We start from the raw sequence: 18,835 nt of genomic DNA, 5'->3' as shown, positions 1-18,835 counted from the left end.
AGGCCTGTGTCCTTCCCTTCAGGACAGTGAAGTTCCCCAGGCCTCAGGTGGGTCTAGAAATGCCATCTGAGTGTCAGGGACTAGAGTCAACAACTTTGGAAGTTTTCCTGGTATTCTATTGTATTGTGGCTGAGCTGGCACTCAAACCACAAGACACAGTCCTTCCCACTCTTCCCTTCCTTTCCAAAGATGAGGAGCCTCATCTTGTAGCCACTGCCACCCCTGGCCATGAGGAGTATTGACAGAGTACCTCCTGTATTCCCCTCAGGCCCAAGTTTCCTTAAGTCAGCTGTGGTGAATGCTGCCTTGCCTAGGACTCACCCTTTAGGGCAATGGATTCCTCTCTGGCCCGGGGCAGGCCCAGCAATGCCATCCAAGTGTCAAGTCTTAGATTCAGGGACCCGCAAGAGCCTGCTTGGTGCTCTATCCCCTTGTGGCAGTGTTGGTACCTAAGGTGTGAGATAAAGTCCCCTTTACTTTATCTTCTGCTTTTCTGAAGCTGAAGGAGTTTTGCCCTGTAACCACCACAGCTGGGAATGTACTGAGTCTCACCTGAAGCCAGCAAATCTCAGAGGCTCACCAAGGCCCTCAGTGTAGTACCTGGGTATCACTGCTAGTTATCCAGGACTCTAGGGCTCTTTAGTTAACAGGTGATAAATGCTGGGTCCTTTCCTTCAAGGCAGTAGTTTCCCTTCTGACCCAGGGTGTGTCTAGAAATGTTGTCTGCAAGCTAGGCCCTGGAAAGGGGGCCTCACAACTCTGCTGCCCTATTCTGCTGTGGTTGAGCTGGAATCCAAGATACAAGACAAAGTCCTCCCCTCAAAGAGAAGGAAGAGGACTCTTTTGGAGCTGTGAGCTGTGTAGCCCCTAAGGTTATGGAAGAGATGAAGCCAACATTCCCTTCACTGTCCAAGCGGTGTCTCAGTATGTTGCATTCTCCCCTCCCCTCCAGTCCACTGGCTCTTGGCCTGGTTCAGCCCTAGGACTTTCCTAGAAGTTGCAGTCCTTATGGCCTTGATTGCCTTTCAAGTTTACTTAGAGAGAGAGAACACTTTGGCCCTTGATGGAGAGGTTTGCAGGCACTCAAGTTTGGACCACAGGGATCGGTGATTCCTGTCTGGTCAGGCCTGGTGTAAATGCTCCCTTGTGTCCGTGAGTGTCAGCTGAGTTTGCCCTGGCTTTCCTTTCTGCTCTAACAGAACAACACTGAGTTTAATGCCTCACAATTGCTGTGTTCTCTGTCCTCCAGCACCCAGAGATGCTCTCTGCACCAGGCTGCCCTTGTTGGGGATGTGGGGAGGTTGGCATCAGCAATCCAGGACTGTGTCTTCTATCTGTTCAGTACCTCCTTCAGCAGTATGAAGTAAAACCAGGTACTATGAGTGTTTACCTTATTTTTGGTTCTTATGAAGGTGTTTTTTTTTTGGTGTAGATAGTTGTTAACTTGCTGTCCTTGTTGGGGGAGGGGAGGCAACTGGTGGAGCTTTCTATCTTGCCATCTTGCTCTGCCTCTGCCTCTCATTTGTTTCTTGAAGCATGGTTTCCTTTTGTACTTTGAACATATATAAATGGCTAAAATATTTGTCTGGTATGTCTAACATCCGGATGCTCTCAGAGACAGTTTCTGTTGCTTGATTTTTCACTGGCATATGGGTCACATCTTCCTGTTTCTTGCATCTTCTCTCTCTTTCTCTCTCAACTGCACATTTTAGATTTTATATTCTATAAACTGTAGATATTCTCTCCCCCCTGCTCCAGAGCTTATTGTTTCCTTATTTGCTTAGAGACTAGGCTGGGCTATGTTATTGAGTTCAGCATGAAACTTTTGATGTTATTCCTTAAAAGGCACAGCTACAGCATGTGTACTGTATTTCTGAGGTTTTGTCTGAACCCTCTTAGATTTTCTCTTTCCTTCCACTCTCTGATAAGCAGTTGGACTTTGTTGGTATTACACTCAGCTGTTAGGCACAATAATTTTTAGGGGATTGTGTCATTATTTTTGACAATGCTCTTGGATGTAAATTGCTTCACAATCTGATTCAATTAAATTTAGACTCATAACACAATTTTAGTATAAAATACAGTTATTGTTTATAGTAGCTATGCTGTATATTAGATATTTTGAACTTATTCATCTTATAACTGAAGGTTCATACTCTTTGAATAACATTTTCCATTCCCCCAACTTCCATTCCTGGCAACTACCATACTACTCTGTGTCTTATCAGTTTACTAACAGAGTATATATTAGGGGTACTCACCACAGGGGTGGAAAAGGTAATCATGTAAGGTTATGGATATATTAATTAGGTTGTTTGTGGTAATTATTTTAATATATATGTGTGTGTGTATAAAATCACATTGTATATATTAAATACATACATTTTTATTTGTCAATGACACCTCAATAAAGCTGGAAAAAATGAATAAATTTGAATTCTTTGTCAAAGTTTTTGAGGCCAGTCTGAAATCTGCTCTGAACCCAGAAGGGCTTCTCCTGGCTATCTTTTCTGGTTCTCTCTGATACACTTGCTGGCCTATGGTTTAGTTGGTTGCTTTCAGGGTATATTAGTCCGTTCTCACACTGCTGATAAAGACATACCCGAGACTGGGTAATTTATAAAGAAAAAGAGGTTTAATGAACTCACAGTTTCACATGGCTGGGGAGACCTCACAATCATGGCAGGAGGCAAAAGGCACGTCTTACATGGCAGCAGGCAAGAGAGAATGAAAGCTAAGTGAAAAGGAAAACCTCTTATAAAATCATCAGATCCTGTGAGACTTATTCACTACCACGAGAACAGTATAGGGGAAAACACCCGCATGATTCAATTATCTCCCTATGGGTCCCTCCCAAAACACATGGAAATTATGAGAGCTACAATTCAAGGTAATATTTGGGTGGGAACACAGCCAAACCATATCACATGGTGAAACCAGTTTTCTCTTAATTACTTATCACCAAAATCGCCATTGTTTCAAAGTCTAAACTTAAGTTAAATCTTCTACACACTCTTCTAAATCAACTAGTTCACTTGAGAAAAGATTCAGATCTTTATGTTCTTATGGCTTGCCTTTTGTCTGTGCAAAATATTGAAGCAACTACTCCAGAACTGGGAATAGGAACAACTACTTGCTTATTTTCTCATAGAGACATAACATCATTACTAGCACTCTCTGGGTTTGGGCAGTAGCTTCTAGTTTTTTAAGCTTGCAATATCTGTCACGAAAAATCTCTCTTATGAATGATCAGGGTGGTTGAGAGAGTGATAGAAGCTTAAGATAACTGGCCTGTCATGCCTTTGGTAGATCCCTGGCACTACAAGTGGGAAAAAGGTAGAGGAATGGAGACACATACCTCTTGGTCAGATTCACTTGGACTTTAGCCACTGCCACACAGAACTGGACATGAGATATGCTAATCACCTGCACACAGAGGAGAGATACTGTAGCCCTTCAGATGGGGATAGAAGAAGCACTATAAATTGGTCTCACTACCCAGAGCGGTGGGTCTGTCATGGTGAGCTGGAGGAGGAAGTACGAAAAGAGCTGATTGTGAACAAGTGAATGAAGTCTCTCACTAACCCTATATTTAGTAGATTTTCTTGAATAAATGTGTCTTTATTTGCTGTGTGGCCTTAGGATAATTACCAAATATTTTAATTTTTCTAAAGTATATACTAAGTCTGATGAGGGCCTGATATTTGATGAGCAGTTTTCTGAGTATGATGGGTTATTGAGTCCAAAGTCAGGTTTTACAGAGTTCTTACTCTGGCTTTTTTGACCATGCTAAAATAGGACATTCTGGGAATCTGACTCCTAAGATTCCTGCCCACTATGGCAGGACAAAAGCCAAGGCTGTGACAAAGATGCTTTCTTCAGTCTCCCTTCAGTTTCACTGCCTGTCAATACTTGGAGATGTCAGAGTGATACGGCTCTATATGTTGTCTGTCTTTAATTGATGAAGAATTTTAAAAAATTCTTTATTATTGTTTCATCTAGATGTTTTAAAAAATCATGTATTTGGAAGCTAGTTAAGAGTTTAGCCAACTTCATACTATAATAGCCATTAACAAAGTAATTTTGTATGAATATTTTATTAGTTGTAGAAACTCCAAATGTTAACATTAGTCACTAACAGATTAGAAGATATTTTTGCTTTATATTTTTATCAATGTCGACTGATAAATAATAAGTAGAGTGAATAAAGAACAGCTTTGCTTAACTTGAGCACGGCTGGCAAACTGAAGTCTATATTTTTCAGCTTGTATTTTGGGTCAGACTTGTGTCTTCAAGAAGAAAGTATTACCTGAGGTAGCAGATATTGACCTTGATAAAAGGTTCACAGAAACATACTTAAATTTGATGGACTCTCTGTGGCCACATGGGTCTGACACTTGGAAGTGCTGTCTATGCAGCCACCAGGCATAGGATGAGTTCAAGAGTATATTTTTTCAGAGTTAAAAGAAACAGCCATAATATAGGATTTAGAGAAAAAGTTACAGCTATCTAGAGCCAAAAATGCAACTAAGTATCAAGAAATGTAATGTATGTGCAACAGAATAAAGTGATGAGAAGGGAGGTACTATTTTTGCCAATGATTTTAGTCAAACATTGGATACACTGAAGATGAGGCTTTGATAGATCAAAGTAAATTATAGTACCACTTGGCTCTGCCCATGAGAATACATTTTATCAAAGTACTATTGGTCAGACCTAACACATCCACATCATCAACTGTAAGTTTCCAATGGGTCAGCAACCTTACATATGTGCTCCTGAACACACACACACAATCACAAATAATATAGGTACTCTAGATAAATAAATATAGGTAGGAAAATGCTGTAGGTTTGCAAAATAAATTACCTTTGAAGAAAAATAAATTTAGACTTTTTCCCAAATGAAAATGCTTAACATTATTTGTACTTAATCATATACTAGTAACACAACATCAAAGGTTCTTTTTTCGTTTGATTAAATTGTTGGAAATTCCAGCTAATTGATCAAATAAATTCTGACTTGGCAATGTGGGCTAAATTTTAGTTGTCACTCTTTGAACAGAAAAAAACACGGGAAGAAAACATAGCTCATAAGAGAATGGCCTAAACAGATCAGCAATCTCTAATTTCTCAGAAGCAGCCAGAAAACCAAGATCTTTCATAACACCATGGGCAGTAGCAGGCATAGCCATAGCCGCTAAGACCACAGCCATAGCTGCAGCCCAGGCCTCCTTTGGCATAGCCCTGGCCACCATGGTAGTTGTTATCAAAGCTCATGGTTTCAAGAAAGGTAGGCTCAGTTGTATAGCAGGATCAGATTCTAGAGTTTTAAGTTTATAGAGTTTTAAGTTTAAAGTTTTAAGCTTATAATAAGGGCCTTAAATGCCACATGAATGGTATGTGGGACAAATCACAGGCACTGTTAGATTCACATTCCACACTAATTAGCATTGAAACCATCTAAAATATTCCTTGTAACCAATACATCCAAGACAACTTTGCTGTTTCTCAGGAATGTTGAATATAATGAAATAATGTACCTTTAATAAGAGATCCATCTCCTATTTTGATGACTCGTTTATTTCAGATGTCAAATTTAAACTACATTACCAGCAACCAAGAGTAACCCACATGGCTTCCACTTGTTGTTGTTGTTGTTGTTGTTGTTGTGAGACAGAGACTAGCTCTGTTGCCTGGCTGGAGTGCAGTGGCACAATCTCACTGCAACCTCCACCTCCTGGTTTCAAGTGATTCTCCTGGATTCTCTGCCTCAGCCTTATGAATAGCTGGTGCGTGCCACCACGCCCAGCTAATTTTTGTATTTTTAGTAGAGATGGGGTTTCGCCATGTTGGCCAGGATGGTCTTGATCTCCTGACCTCAAGATCCGCCCGCCTCGGCCTCCCAAAGCCTGGGGTTATGGACGTGATGGCTTCCATTTTTTAAAAATCCTACTTTCACCCAATAATATCCTTCAGCCTAAATACATATATGCAGACTTGGGAATAAGAGTGTAGCTCCAAAGTGATAAGGAAGGATGATAAGCGTGTAAGAGAAGTCATGGTGGCAGCATTCACTTGTAAAATGTTGAGTGATAAGGTGTTTCATCACTTTTTGTGGAGCAATATCATTCTCTTTGGTTTATACTTCACATGTAGCTATCATTTTATATATGATTCTAAACCGTGGCAAAGACTTTGATTTTTGACTTCGTTGATTCTGGGTATATAGTAAGAAAAGGACTTCTATTAAAAATCTGAATTTTAAAACAATTCCAGAATTACTCAAAGATTTATTGGCATCATGACTCCCTGAGATGGCACAAGACAAGAGTTACATCTCTTCCCAAATGTATAACCTCAATCTACATATGAGGAAACCTTAGACAGATTCAATTGGGGAATATTCCACAAAATATCTGGCTCTCTAAAATTGTAAGGTCATAAAAGCCAAGAAAAGACGAATGAACCATGAGCAATTGGAGGTGACTAAGAAGTATAAAAACCAAATGCAATGTGAATTGGATCCAAGAACAGAAAAAAAGAACATTAAAATAAATATGTGAATAGTGCTACAATGAACCATGGTCCTAGAACTTAAAATAAAATAAGTTAATAATAACAGAAAAATGGTAAAATAAAGTCTGCAGTTTAGTTAAGAATACTGTACACAGTTAATTTCTTTGGTGTGATAAGTGGATTATGGTTATGAAAGATATTAATATTAGGGATGTTGAATGATGGATATATGGAAATTTTCTATACTATTTTGACAACTATCTCTATGCCTGAGATTATTTTAAGATAAGAAGTTAAAAGAGAATATAAAACTATTGTTCCATTTCATTGACTTGGTCACTTATTAATTCTTTTATAAATCAAGAAAATAACTTACATTTTCTTGTTCTTCCGTAGAGGTTGAACATAAAGGAAAATTAGACTCACTGGTATAAGTAGAAAAATACAACAAATTTTTCTCAGATCTGGTTTTCTAGAATTTTTAATTAGTTGAATTATTATCAACATCATGGCTTTAGTATAGAAAAGACACTAAATCCCTGAAAAAAGTATTATTTGGATAAAGAGAGCAGAAATACTAAAAGGGCAAAGTTATTGTTTGCTGAATGTTGTGCAAAAGAGTACAATTAATTGGGGCCTAGAGCAAATAAGAGTGTAACTAACAAAAGTCTTTCTTGATGTAAAGGATGGCTATAGAAAGTCTAGTTTGAGGCAGGATTATATGAGTGTGAGTGTGTGAGGTCTCCTTTCATCAGAGCCCTCAATCAGATAAGGGGAGCCCAAATTGCAAGGCCAAACAAAACAAGCCTCCTTAATACCTCTGCAGCATTATCTTACAATTGAGAAAAAACAAACTAATTATATTAGTCAAAAAATTAGCCAGTGGTATGCTACCTCTGCTGGATCATTCCCATCCTGAGGCATATAAAAGGACTTCTACAGGAAGTATCCATACTGAAGTCACCTACACTCCTTCCTACCCAAGGACAACCTCCACAACCATCACGATGTGCGGCAGCTACTACGGAAACTACTACGGCGACCATGGCTATGGGTGCTGTGGATACGAAGGCCTAGGCTATGGCTATGGAAGCCTGCGCTGTGGCTATAGCTCCTGCTGTGGCTATGGTCATGGCTACGGCTCCCGCTTCTTCTGTGGCTGTGGCTATGGATGCGGCTCTGGCTACTACTATTGAGGACACCGTGGGAGACTCATCCTCTATCCTGTGACATCGGGATTCACCAATTCTGAACCCCGTATGCTCTGAGCTCGGGGCTGGATGAAGATTATCTTATATTAAAAGTTTCTGATGTGATTTATCTGAAGACTGACCCTCCCACCCCCAGTACCCTCTGGATCTAGTATTTTCAACTTCCTTTTCTGCATTTAATGCATGAAAATTAAAATAATGTAAAATTCATCCTATGAACTCCTGTGGTCTCTCATCAAGATGATGCTGTTATAGATCTTGCTTTTTGATTTTCATGCAGGAACTTATTTTCTGTTTTCCTAATACACTTTTTCAATCTGGAATTACCATCCTGATTTTCTTTTCATTAGTATCCAGTATTTATCTTTTTAGCTTTCTTCCCAATTTATGTTAACCTAACAATGTCTCAACGTAACCCATGTTATCACTGCTTCAATAGAATAGAAAACCGAGCATGAACAGAGCAGAAAACCGTGCATCATTTATGGGTTGATTATTTGCGTATGAAAATCATTTACTGTCAAACTTGTTCTATGTAGTTCATATCACAACTCTACATAAATAATTTATAATCTAAATAACCATAATTAAGTAGCATTTATTAGCCGTTTAGCATAGAGCAATCACTGTGCCAAGTTTTTAACGTACATCATCTCAAATGAGCCTCAGAATGAATGCATGATGTGTTAAAATTTTCCCCATTTTCCTGTAATCCCACCACTTTGGGAAGCTGAGACAGGTGGATCATTTGAGGTCAGGAGTTCAAGACCAGCCTGGCCAATATGGTGAAACCCCGTCTCTATTAAAAATACAAAAAAACCAGCCAGGGGCCATGGTGGTGCACACCTGTAATCCCAGCTACTTGGGAGGGTGAGGTGGGAGAATCGCTTAAACCCGGGAGGCAGAGGTTGCAGTGAGCCGAGATTGTGCCACTGCACTCCAGCCTGGGTGACATCTTTTTCAAGAAAAAGAAAAAAAAAATTGGCCGGTCATGGTGGCTCATGCCTGTAATCCCAGCACTTTGGGAGGCCGAGGCGGGCAGATCACAAGGTCAGGAGATCAAGACCATCCTGGCTAACACAGTGAAACCCCATCTCTACTAAAAATATAAAAAAAAATTAGCCGGGCTTGGTGGCGGGCCCCTGTAGTCCTAGCTACAGGAGAATGGCGTGAACCTGGTAGGGGGAGGTTTCAGTGAGCTGAGATCGCGCCACTGCACTCCAGCCTGGGTGACAGAGTGAGACTCTATCTAAAAAAAAAAAAAAAAAAAAAAAAAAAAAAAAGAGAAAAAAACTTATCCCCATTTTAGAGCTGAATAGATAGAAGTAAAGAGAATGGAGTAACTTTCTCATTGGCAGGTGTGGCAAAAGAGATATTTCATACCCACCTGTTTGTTGTCTCTTTGTAGATTCATCTAAAGTATTTATTTTCTTTGACTCTAGATAATTGCAGGGATTGTTTAACCACTAAATGCAAAGTTATCTCCCGGGATAGGCTTAGTTATTACTGTTATTTAATGTTATTGACTTAAATTAAAATTATCTGAAGAACAATTTTGTTTTTTACCTCTTTACCCAACGAAAATCTTCCATTCCACTTTTCTCTGCTTTTTAAATTTATACTGACCACTCTATTTACGAAATTTCAGCTCACACATTAGACGTTTATAATCTTTCATGCACATCTCTTACTTTTTGGCACAATCTTTTTATGCCTTTTCTCCAAATTCTAGGAAAATTTCTCAATCCCTTTTCCCCATCTCATCTCTTATTAACTTTTGTCCCTTCAGCATTTTTTTCTTTAAATTAACTTTATCATGACAAATACCTATTGCCTCTTTTTAGATTTTAATAATTGCTTATATAGTTGCTGTAGCTCTATGCATTTCAGGGCTCTCAAATATTATACATTTTAGAATTTGAAAAAAATGTGTTGAAGAGGTTTTCTTCCTTTTGCAACAGTACTATTTTTGAAAAGTAGGCTCATTGTGAGTGCCTAGACTGATCCTTTGATTTTCATAGCTACTTATTTCATATGGTTTTACCCTTAAAAAGAATGATCTACTACTTAGGATAAAGATTTGTTCCATCAGAACTTTTGCGTAGATATGCTAAATCTTTTGCATACAAACAATTGTAAAGAAAAAGTGTTAATACTTCTAATTTTATTTTGCCTGTTTAGCAATACCCATCACTTTCAAGGGTGATCATCTAGTGTGAGCAAGTGAAGGTAGTCATTTCCAATACCATGTAACAGGCCTTTCTGTACATGTTTGTTGTGACGGATCCTGGTTACACGTTGGTGATGTTCTACTTCAAATTCCTTCAATCTTCTCCCTAGGTGTTTATCTTTCTTATATAAAATTCTAATCTATTGGCATTTTTTCTCATCCAATCTTGTCAATATGTCAAGAAGAAATACTCTCAAGATTATTATTTTTATTTAATGGATTAATATCCATTTTATACTATATGTAGACTTATGGCAAATACTATAATTTATTTTTAAATATTACAATAGTTTTTAGATGTATTATACTAAGAGTCTTTAAACCACTTTATTGAAGTATTATTGACATATAATAAGCTGTATGTACTTAATATATACCATATGGTGAGTTTGGAGATAAATATACATCTGTGAAGGCATCATCTCAATCTATGTTATAAACATATCCATGACGACCAAAAGTTTCCTCCCACACTCTCTATTATTATTGCTTTGTTTTGTGATAAGAACATGTAACATAATATCTACTGCATTAACAGATTTTCAAGTAAGATAATAGTAAAAATTAAAAATCCATGGAAATTTGAAAACAAAAATACACTTTAAGATGATTCCAAACACTGTTATTTGAAATAATTAACATTTATAAACCACTTGCTAATGTTCTTAAGAAAAAAGAGAAAAAGCACATACAAAAGCAAGAAACAAATACTGAAACAGAAGAAACTTTAAAAATTATACGAGAATACTTCACAGATCTTCATGAACATAAATTTGAAAACCTAGTTGTAAAAAAAAATCTAGGGGGATGCATATTACCAAAACTGATAACTCTGGATTTAGAAATTGACAAAGGGACTAATTTCCTTAGAAAAAATACAGAAAATCATTAAAGAAATGTCTTGTAAAAATGCCCCAGATTCATATTTATCAGGAAAGTCTACCATCATAATTTCTATGATGAAGGATGTACAACATTTATTTCAGTGGTGGGCAGACTACTAAGGTGGCTCCATGGTTTCTATTCATTGATGTTCAATGCCCTCATGTGATCTCCTGTCCTTGAGTGTGAGCAAGGCCTGTGACTTGGTTCAACCAAATAGCATATAGTAAAGGTGACTGAATATGCAGATACATGTATATATATATGATTGTATGTTATTGCCACAAAAGATTGCAGCATCCATCTTGTTAGAATCTCTCTCTCCCTCTATTCTTTGATTTGAGAAAGCAAATGACCATATTTAGCAACCCACATTGTAGGGAACTAAGGAAGCCTCTTGGGTTCTCCAGCAGACAGCATGCAAACACCCCCAGCCAACAGTCAGGGCTGAGACCTGCAATTATTCAACCACAAGGAACTGAATTCAGCCAACAAGTACATGCGCTCGGAAGTGGGTCCTTCCTCAGGAGAACCTCAAATAAAACTGCAGACCTGACCAACACCTTGATTGCTTCATTGTGAGACCCTGAAACTTTCAGTGTATACCTGAAAACGCTGCTTTTATCCAATTATTATGACCCATCGTGTAGGACAAACAGATTTACAACCTACAAAATAAAATATCTGGGAACACATTTAATCAAGAAGGTGAAAGATCTCGCAAAATATTGCTGAAAGAAATAATAAGTGATACAAACAAATGAAAAAACATTGCATGCTCTTGTATGGGAAGAATCAGTATCATTAATACGTCCATACTGCCAAAAGCAATCTACAGACTCAATGTCACTTCTATAAAACTACTAAAATCATTTTTCACAGAATAAGGAAAATCTACTCTAAAATTTATGTGGAATCAAAGAAGAGCCTTTCCTTTCTTTTCTAAGGAAAAATAACCAAGCTAGAGGCATCACACTACCCAACTTCAAACTATGCTGGAAGGATATAGTAACCAAAACAGCATGATACTGGTATAAAAATTGATGCATAGACCAATGTAATAGGATAGACAACACAGAAATAAAGCCACACACCTACAACCATCTAAACTTCGACAAAGTTGATAATGACCAAGCAATGGGGAAAGGACTTCCTATTCAATAAATGGTGATGGGATAACTGACTAACCACATGCAGAAAATTTAAATTGGTGACCTACATTCCTCCATATACAAAAATTAACTCAAGATGGGTTAAAGATCTAAATGTGAGACCTAAAACTATAAAAATCCTAGAAGAAAACCTAGGAAATATGATTCTGGACATAGGCTTTGGCAAATAATTTTTGGCTAAGTTCTCAAAAGCAATTGCAACAAAAACAGAAGTGGACCTAATTAAACTAAAGTGCTTCTGCACAGCAAAAGAAACTGTCTACAGAGTAAACATATAGCTACAGAATGGGAGGAATTATTTACAAACTCTGCATCCAACAAAAGTCTAATATCCAGAATCCATAGGGATCCTAAGCAAATCAACAAGCAAAAACCAAATAACCCCTTTAAACATGGGCAAAAGGCATGAGCAGGCACTTCTCAAAAGACTATAAAATCAGCCAACAAATATATTTTTATATATTTGTTATATACAACAAATACATATATAAATTATATATGTGTTACATATATATTTGTCATATATTTGTTATATATAACAAATATATATGTTAATGCATAACATTAGTGACCAGTCAAAATAGTTACTATTAAAAAAGTCAAAAACTAAAACGTGTTGGTGAGGTTGTGGAGAAAAGAGAATGCTTATACACTGGTGATGAGAATATTAAATTATTCCAGTCACTCTGGAAAGCATCTGGAGATTTCTCAAAGAACTTAAAGCAGAACTACCATTTGACCCAGCAATCCCATTACTGGGTATATACCCAAAGAAAAAAAAATTGTTCTACCAAAAAGAAACATGCACTTGTCTGTTCATCGCTGTGCTATTCACAAGAGCAAAGACATGGAATCAACCCAGATGTCTAACAATAGTTGACAAAAGATAATGTGTTTCATGTGCACCATGGAATACTATGTAGCCACAACAAAGAGTGGAAATCATATTCTTTGCAGCACCATGGATGCAGCTGGAGGTGATTATCCTAAGCACATTAATGCAGGAACAGAAAATCAAATACCACAGGTTTTCACTTATAAGTAGGAGCTAAAAATTGAGTGCACATGTATATAAACATGAAAGCAATAGACACTGGGACTCTTGGAGTGGGGATGGTGGGGGGTGGTAAGGGTTGAAAAACTACCTTTCACATATTACCTCAGTGGCATGCAATTCACCCATGTAACAAATATACACATATAACCCTTGAACCTAAAATAAGAGTTGAAAAAAATAACGATAAAAGCAAAAAATCAAAGAAAAAAATTTTGGACAATAAATAAGATACAAACACCAAGATTTCTCTTGTGGATTAAATGTGTTTATTAGGTCAGCAGAGAAACAAACTACAGCATGAAAGTCATCAAAGGAGTCACTGTGACACCATCATCCTGATAAAAGGAGAAGTGACAGGTGAACTTCACCTTATCCCACTTCATGATGGAAACTCAGGGTATTTTTGGGTTAGATGGTAGATCAACAACAGATCATATTAGACTTCCACTGCAGGATATCATCAATCAAGGGAAAGGCTCAGAGCATGTGGGCTTCAGAATTGGTGAATTGCAATGTCACAGGATAGAGGGTGAGAGTCTCCCATGGTGTCCTCAATAGTAGTAGCCAAAGCTGGAGCCATAGCCAGAGCCGCACCTATAGCCACAGCCACAGAAGGAGTGGGAGACATAGCCATAGCCACAGCCATAGCCACAGTCCAGGCCTCTGTAGCCACAGCCACAGAAGGAGCCATAGCCACAGCCCAGGCCTCCATAGCCACAGTCCAGGCCTCCATAGCCAAAGCCCAGGCCTCCGTAGCCACAGCACCCATAGCCACAGCCGCCATAACCACAGCCCAGGCCTCCGTAGCCACAGCACCCATAGCCATGGCCACCATTGTAGTTTCTGTAGTAGCTGCCACACATGGTGTTGGTTGTTGAGGTCATCCTTGGGTAGGAAGGAGTGTAGGTGACTTCAGTATGGACACTTCTCCGCAGAGGGCCTTTTATATGCCTCAGTGAATCAGAACATAGCGTGCCCCTGCAAAAATATCTCTAAAGGCCTTTCATTGTGCTGAGAAGTTCTGGCCCTTACGTATCTCTCTGATTTCATATCCTGCTACTCTCCTCCATTTATCTATAATGCTCAAACTCTGCTGGCTTTTTGTCTTTTAAAATGCAGCAGGTTTCTTCTCACAATAAGGCCCTGGCCTCTGCACTTACTGATTTCTCTTTCTTAAAATAATACCAGGAATATTTGACTCATTTTCTATTTCAATTGAAATGTTCACTTCCCAGAGAGACTTTTAATGGCCACCTTATATTAATTAGTCTACCTCCAGTAACTGAACTTAATGTAACTCACTGAGTTTTATTATTCTCACAGGATTCTTCACTGTTAGAATCTATTTCATTCATTTTTAAAATCAGTCTCTCTATCCCTTCTGTCTCATTGTAACCTGCAGAAAGTAGAGACTTTGTCTATTTTGTTCATCTGCTCAATCTGCATTTCTTATAACGGTGCCTGATACAGCAGATTCTTAATAAAGATTTGATGAATTAGTGAAAAAATAACCAAATGAATGACATGATGCAACTTTCTATACTCAAATTCTGTGTAGAATAATCACAATCTTTGTTCTATGCTTGGGGTAACTGGGGATAAATTCATGTACTCTGGGATCCTTTTGGATCATATGCAAACCAGTGGAGGAATTTATCATGGTGATTTTTTTCTGGTTTGAGAATCCATGCCTTTTCCGATTGTTAAGGTGGTGGTATATATCCACTAAAGTTTATGAACTACTGTGTGCAGTTCCGAAATTCTGACTAAATGTTCTACTTGCCTCTTATTGATATGATACTTTGCCAGTCTCACATTGATCTACAAAGTATGATCCCTAGGTTGATCATTGGTAGTTCTGCTACATTTAAGAGTAGCAAATGAATTAATATGTACTATTATTTGTTTATATTTTATTCTAATTGCTTTATCATAATAAATGACTAATAATTCATTAATAATATTTAATAAGTGGATGGAATAAACGTGACAAATTATCACAGGGAGCTTCATAGAAAGTCAGCTCTCATAATTAAGGCTATCACCAGAATGCATTTGGGCCAGAAATGTGGTTTGCTGATGTTATTCTATCCAAGTCACCACTTTAAAAAATAGTAACAGGAATTCTGCTAGAAGATGAAAAGTATTTTTACAATACTTTTGGAAATTTGGAATTAATATATTTTAAAATAAGCAAATTCATTAAATATAAAAAGAAGGTAAAATATGTGAATATTATGTGTCAGGAGAGGAAAACATGAATTTTGAGATACGGTGGGTAATTGTTTCTAATTGCTTTCTCAGATGCAAAGAGAACACCACAACTAATAATATAACCAAAGTGAGGATGATGGAAGAGAAAAAACTTTACTACTCCAAGAACATAAGCTACATATGAACTTGGAAGAAAATTTTTAGTCCCATTGATTAAGAAATAAATTAGTCAAAACATACAGGCATATTTGCAAGTAAATAAAGACATTTTCATCGGCTTCCTCACTGCATAGCCAACCTTCCCTAACCATTCCTGGCCACTCTGTGGTTTAAGGACTGCATTTATGGAGGTAGAGGAGGATATTGAAAAAGAAAAAAGAAATGTTTCAAGAGGCAGGAAATATAAGCTTAATGTGATCACAGAGAAGCTAATCATCAAGTTTAAATTGGGATTTTAAGTAAGCAAAAGCCACAAAATTAAGAGAATATCTCCTTAAGGCTCATGATTTTACTTGTTGGCATCCTGACACATAGCAATATTAATATTTTCCTGGACATATGGCTAAGAGATTCTTGAGGGTTTTTTTAATCTTAATGCAAATTAGTTGTGAGAATGAGTCCAATGTAGATTGTGGTTTCCTTCACATATAACTCAGGTTGGATAAAATAATTTGTACAAATCAGGAGAGTCAAATTTCAGAAACTACTATCTGCCTCAATTGAACTCCATCTTCTGACACCATGTGCTACTACCACAACTATTATGGTAGCCTGGACTATGGTTGCAGCTATGGCTCTGAATATGGTAACTCTGGATATGCCTGCAACTTTCCGTGCTCCTATGGAAGATTCCTATTGGCTCCTAGAAAGAAATTCTGATTGCTGATCACTTTGAGCCATTTTCTTGTGATGCACTAATTGCATCAACAGGGTTATTTATGGATTCGTTATTGTCTCTCCAATTTTAACTAACTCTAATTATTGATTACCACAGGTCATATTTGCATTGGATTAGTGGAATTTCCTACCAGTTAGTGGGAAAATCCTTTGATATTTTGTTAGTTTTATGTGTTTATGTCTGTTATAATATTAACAATTTCCATGCAGGAAAACTTATAAATTTGCATTTTAATAAATATAATCACTTTCACAATATGTATTGCTTATCATATATATTCATTTCTCTTTATCATTTGTGTATTTGTGTGTGTGTGTGTGTGTGTGTGTGTGTGTGAAAGAGAGAGAGAGAGAGAAAGGGAGAAATAGAAAGAGAGAGTGAAATTGCTACCTGTGGCTATTTTAGTCAGTGATGTGACAAAACAGGCAACTCATGACTGATGTTTTTCCAAAAATGTTTGTATAAAAGTAATTTCAAGTTCAGTTTCAAGAATACTGTTCTCTATATTGATCTAATGCAAGTTTCATTTTAGAAAAATTCAATGTTTGACCTAGGTAATTGGCAAAACCAGTAGCACTATTACCCACCAAGCTATTTTCTACTGCAATTTTCTCTCTCCTAATAGTCTACATTTAAACATGTGCTTCTGTACTGATACAACTCCAGCCCTGCATTGAGTACTCTGACCTCTTTTCACTCACTCTTATAGATAAGAATCCTCTATATGAAGCTGGTTGGTATGCCTGATAATCCTGTGTTTCCACAGCAAAGATCACCTCATTTAGAGATCTAAGTGACTCTTTTGAGTTTTTCTAACTCTGATCATCTTCTAGCAGAATTCCTGTTACTATTTTTTAAAGTGGTGACTTGGATAGAATAACATCTTGCAAACCACATTTCTGGCCCAAATGCATTCTGGTGATAGGTCTTAATTATGAGAGCTGACTTTCTATGAAACTCCCTGTGATAATTTATCATGTTTATTCCATCCACTTATTAAATATTATTAATGATTAGTCATTAATTATGATAAAGCAATCAGAATAAAATATAAACAGATAATAGTACATATTAATTCATTTGCTACTCTTAAATGTAGCAGAACTACCAACGATCAACGTAGGGATCACACTTTATAGATCAATATGAGACTAGTGAAGTATCTCCCAGCCCCCAAGTGCAGGCTTTCTGAAAGCAAACGGAAGTGAAAATACTGTATTGCTGTCTATTCCTTCCTCCCTGGAGTGAAAAAGTCAATCCATTAGCAGTTCCAACCCAACTTGCCCAACCAGTGACTGGGCAGAGAAGTTGGTGATCATTCCTCTGGTGAAAAATGAAAATAAGAGGGAAGTGATTCCATTTTTACTAAGATATAGGTTGGGGCTCTGCTCATTATTTGCATAAATTATCCCATTTAATGGATTAACAAATTTAAAGGTTAAACATTTTAATTTCTATTGCAGTCATGCCAAATTAAATCAACTTTTAGAAAGGTAAAGCTGAAAGATTCTTGGTGAGATTGTGCAGGATTGAAAATTTGTGTTTAGTCCTGTACACAGTTCTGATTCTCAATACAAGTTAGTGCTCTAGAATGACGGAGGTTGCTATATTTTGTATAGTATTTCATAATTATTAACTTATTGTGCAAATGGGTATCAATGCTTTCATTATGGCAGTTTGGAACACCAGATTTAAAAATCAATAAAAAATTATGTATCAAAAATGAAACAACATGCATATCGGTACAAAATATACTCATCATATGTTGTTATTTATTTAGTTATGGGAAGTTCAAAAAAAGAACAAACTAATCAGTAATAAAAGTGAGAATAGTGGTACCTCTGGGCAGGAGAGTATTGGATAAGAAAGGGCACAGTGGAATCTTCTGGGTGGAGGAAATGTTTTGTATTTTGATCTAGCTAATGGTTATATGAGTGTATACATATATAAAAATCCATTAAGTTGTATATGTAGGATTAGTGCACTTTACTATATACATATTAGGAATGAATTAAAAACTGAAACAGTGAAATGAGATGAGAGATTTAAAACTACGGCACTATCATAGGACAGAAAATTAATTAATACAGAAATTCCAGGGGGAAAAAAGATGGACATTTTGGTACATAATGTAAGAACTGTCCAGCATTTTGAGAAAGTGTTTGTGTTTATGTATTTTTGTGTGTGTGTGTGAAAAAATATTTTTTTCTTCCAGTAACAACCATGATTTTCAGGGGTAATAAATATCTAAACATAAGAAAATAAATATTAACATTGCTAAAATTCTAGGAGTGACCTGCCTACTGAAAATGTAAAATCCAATCACTCTAAGTTATTGATTGACTTTATTTTATAAAAATATTAACTCTTTCCTCCATTGCAAAAGTCAGTTACACAAGACTAAAATAAAATCCTGGATTGTAAAAAGTTAATTATTATGTATCAGCTATTTTAAAAAAGGGAACAACACACACTGGGACCTTTTGGAGGGTAGAAGGTGGGAGAAGAAAGAGGACCAGGAAGAATAACTAATGGGTACTAGGCTTAATATCTGGGTGATAAAATAACTGTACTACAAATCCTCATGACACAAATCTACCTATGCAGCAAACCTGCATTTGTACCCCCGAGCATAAAAGTTAAAAAAAGATAA

General features: G+C 37.0%; 4 protein-coding genes across 4 annotated transcripts; 2 read left to right on the top strand and 2 right to left on the bottom strand.

Annotated features, from left to right (window-relative positions):
• Positions 1–5,017: 5,017 nt before the first annotated feature.
• Positions 5,018–5,313, bottom strand: KRTAP22-1 (keratin associated protein 22-1). Its single transcript, NM_181620.2, has one exon. It carries the CDS (start codon positions 5,277–5,279, stop codon positions 5,133–5,135), a length of 147 nt encoding a protein of 48 aa, NP_853651.1. The 5' UTR covers positions 5,280–5,313; the 3' UTR covers positions 5,018–5,132.
• Positions 5,314–7,497: 2,184 nt separating this feature from the next.
• On the top strand, positions 7,498–7,810 carry KRTAP6-2 (keratin associated protein 6-2). The gene has a single exon (NM_181604.2). The coding sequence runs from the start codon at positions 7,526–7,528 to the stop codon at positions 7,712–7,714; it is 189 nt and encodes a 62-aa protein (NP_853635.1). The 5' UTR covers positions 7,498–7,525; the 3' UTR covers positions 7,715–7,810.
• Positions 7,811–13,344: 5,534 nt separating this feature from the next.
• Positions 13,345–13,960, bottom strand: KRTAP6-3 (keratin associated protein 6-3). The gene has a single exon (NM_001433434.1). It carries the CDS (start codon positions 13,931–13,933, stop codon positions 13,622–13,624), a length of 312 nt encoding a protein of 103 aa, NP_001420363.1. The 5' UTR covers positions 13,934–13,960; the 3' UTR covers positions 13,345–13,621.
• A 2,042-nt stretch (positions 13,961–16,002) lies between these two features.
• On the top strand, positions 16,003–16,295 carry KRTAP22-2 (keratin associated protein 22-2). Its single transcript, NM_001164434.1, has one exon. It carries the CDS (start codon positions 16,026–16,028, stop codon positions 16,161–16,163), a length of 138 nt encoding a protein of 45 aa, NP_001157906.1. The 5' UTR covers positions 16,003–16,025; the 3' UTR covers positions 16,164–16,295.
• Positions 16,296–18,835: the final 2,540 nt, after the last annotated feature.

Source organism: Homo sapiens, chromosome 21 (assembly GCF_000001405.40).
Source record: "Homo sapiens chromosome 21, GRCh38.p14 Primary Assembly".
NCBI classification, from domain to species: Eukaryota; Metazoa; Chordata; class Mammalia; order Primates; family Hominidae; genus Homo; species Homo sapiens.
The sequence above is the reverse complement of the archived record's forward strand: the minus strand, read 5'-3'. Positions and strand labels throughout refer to the sequence as shown.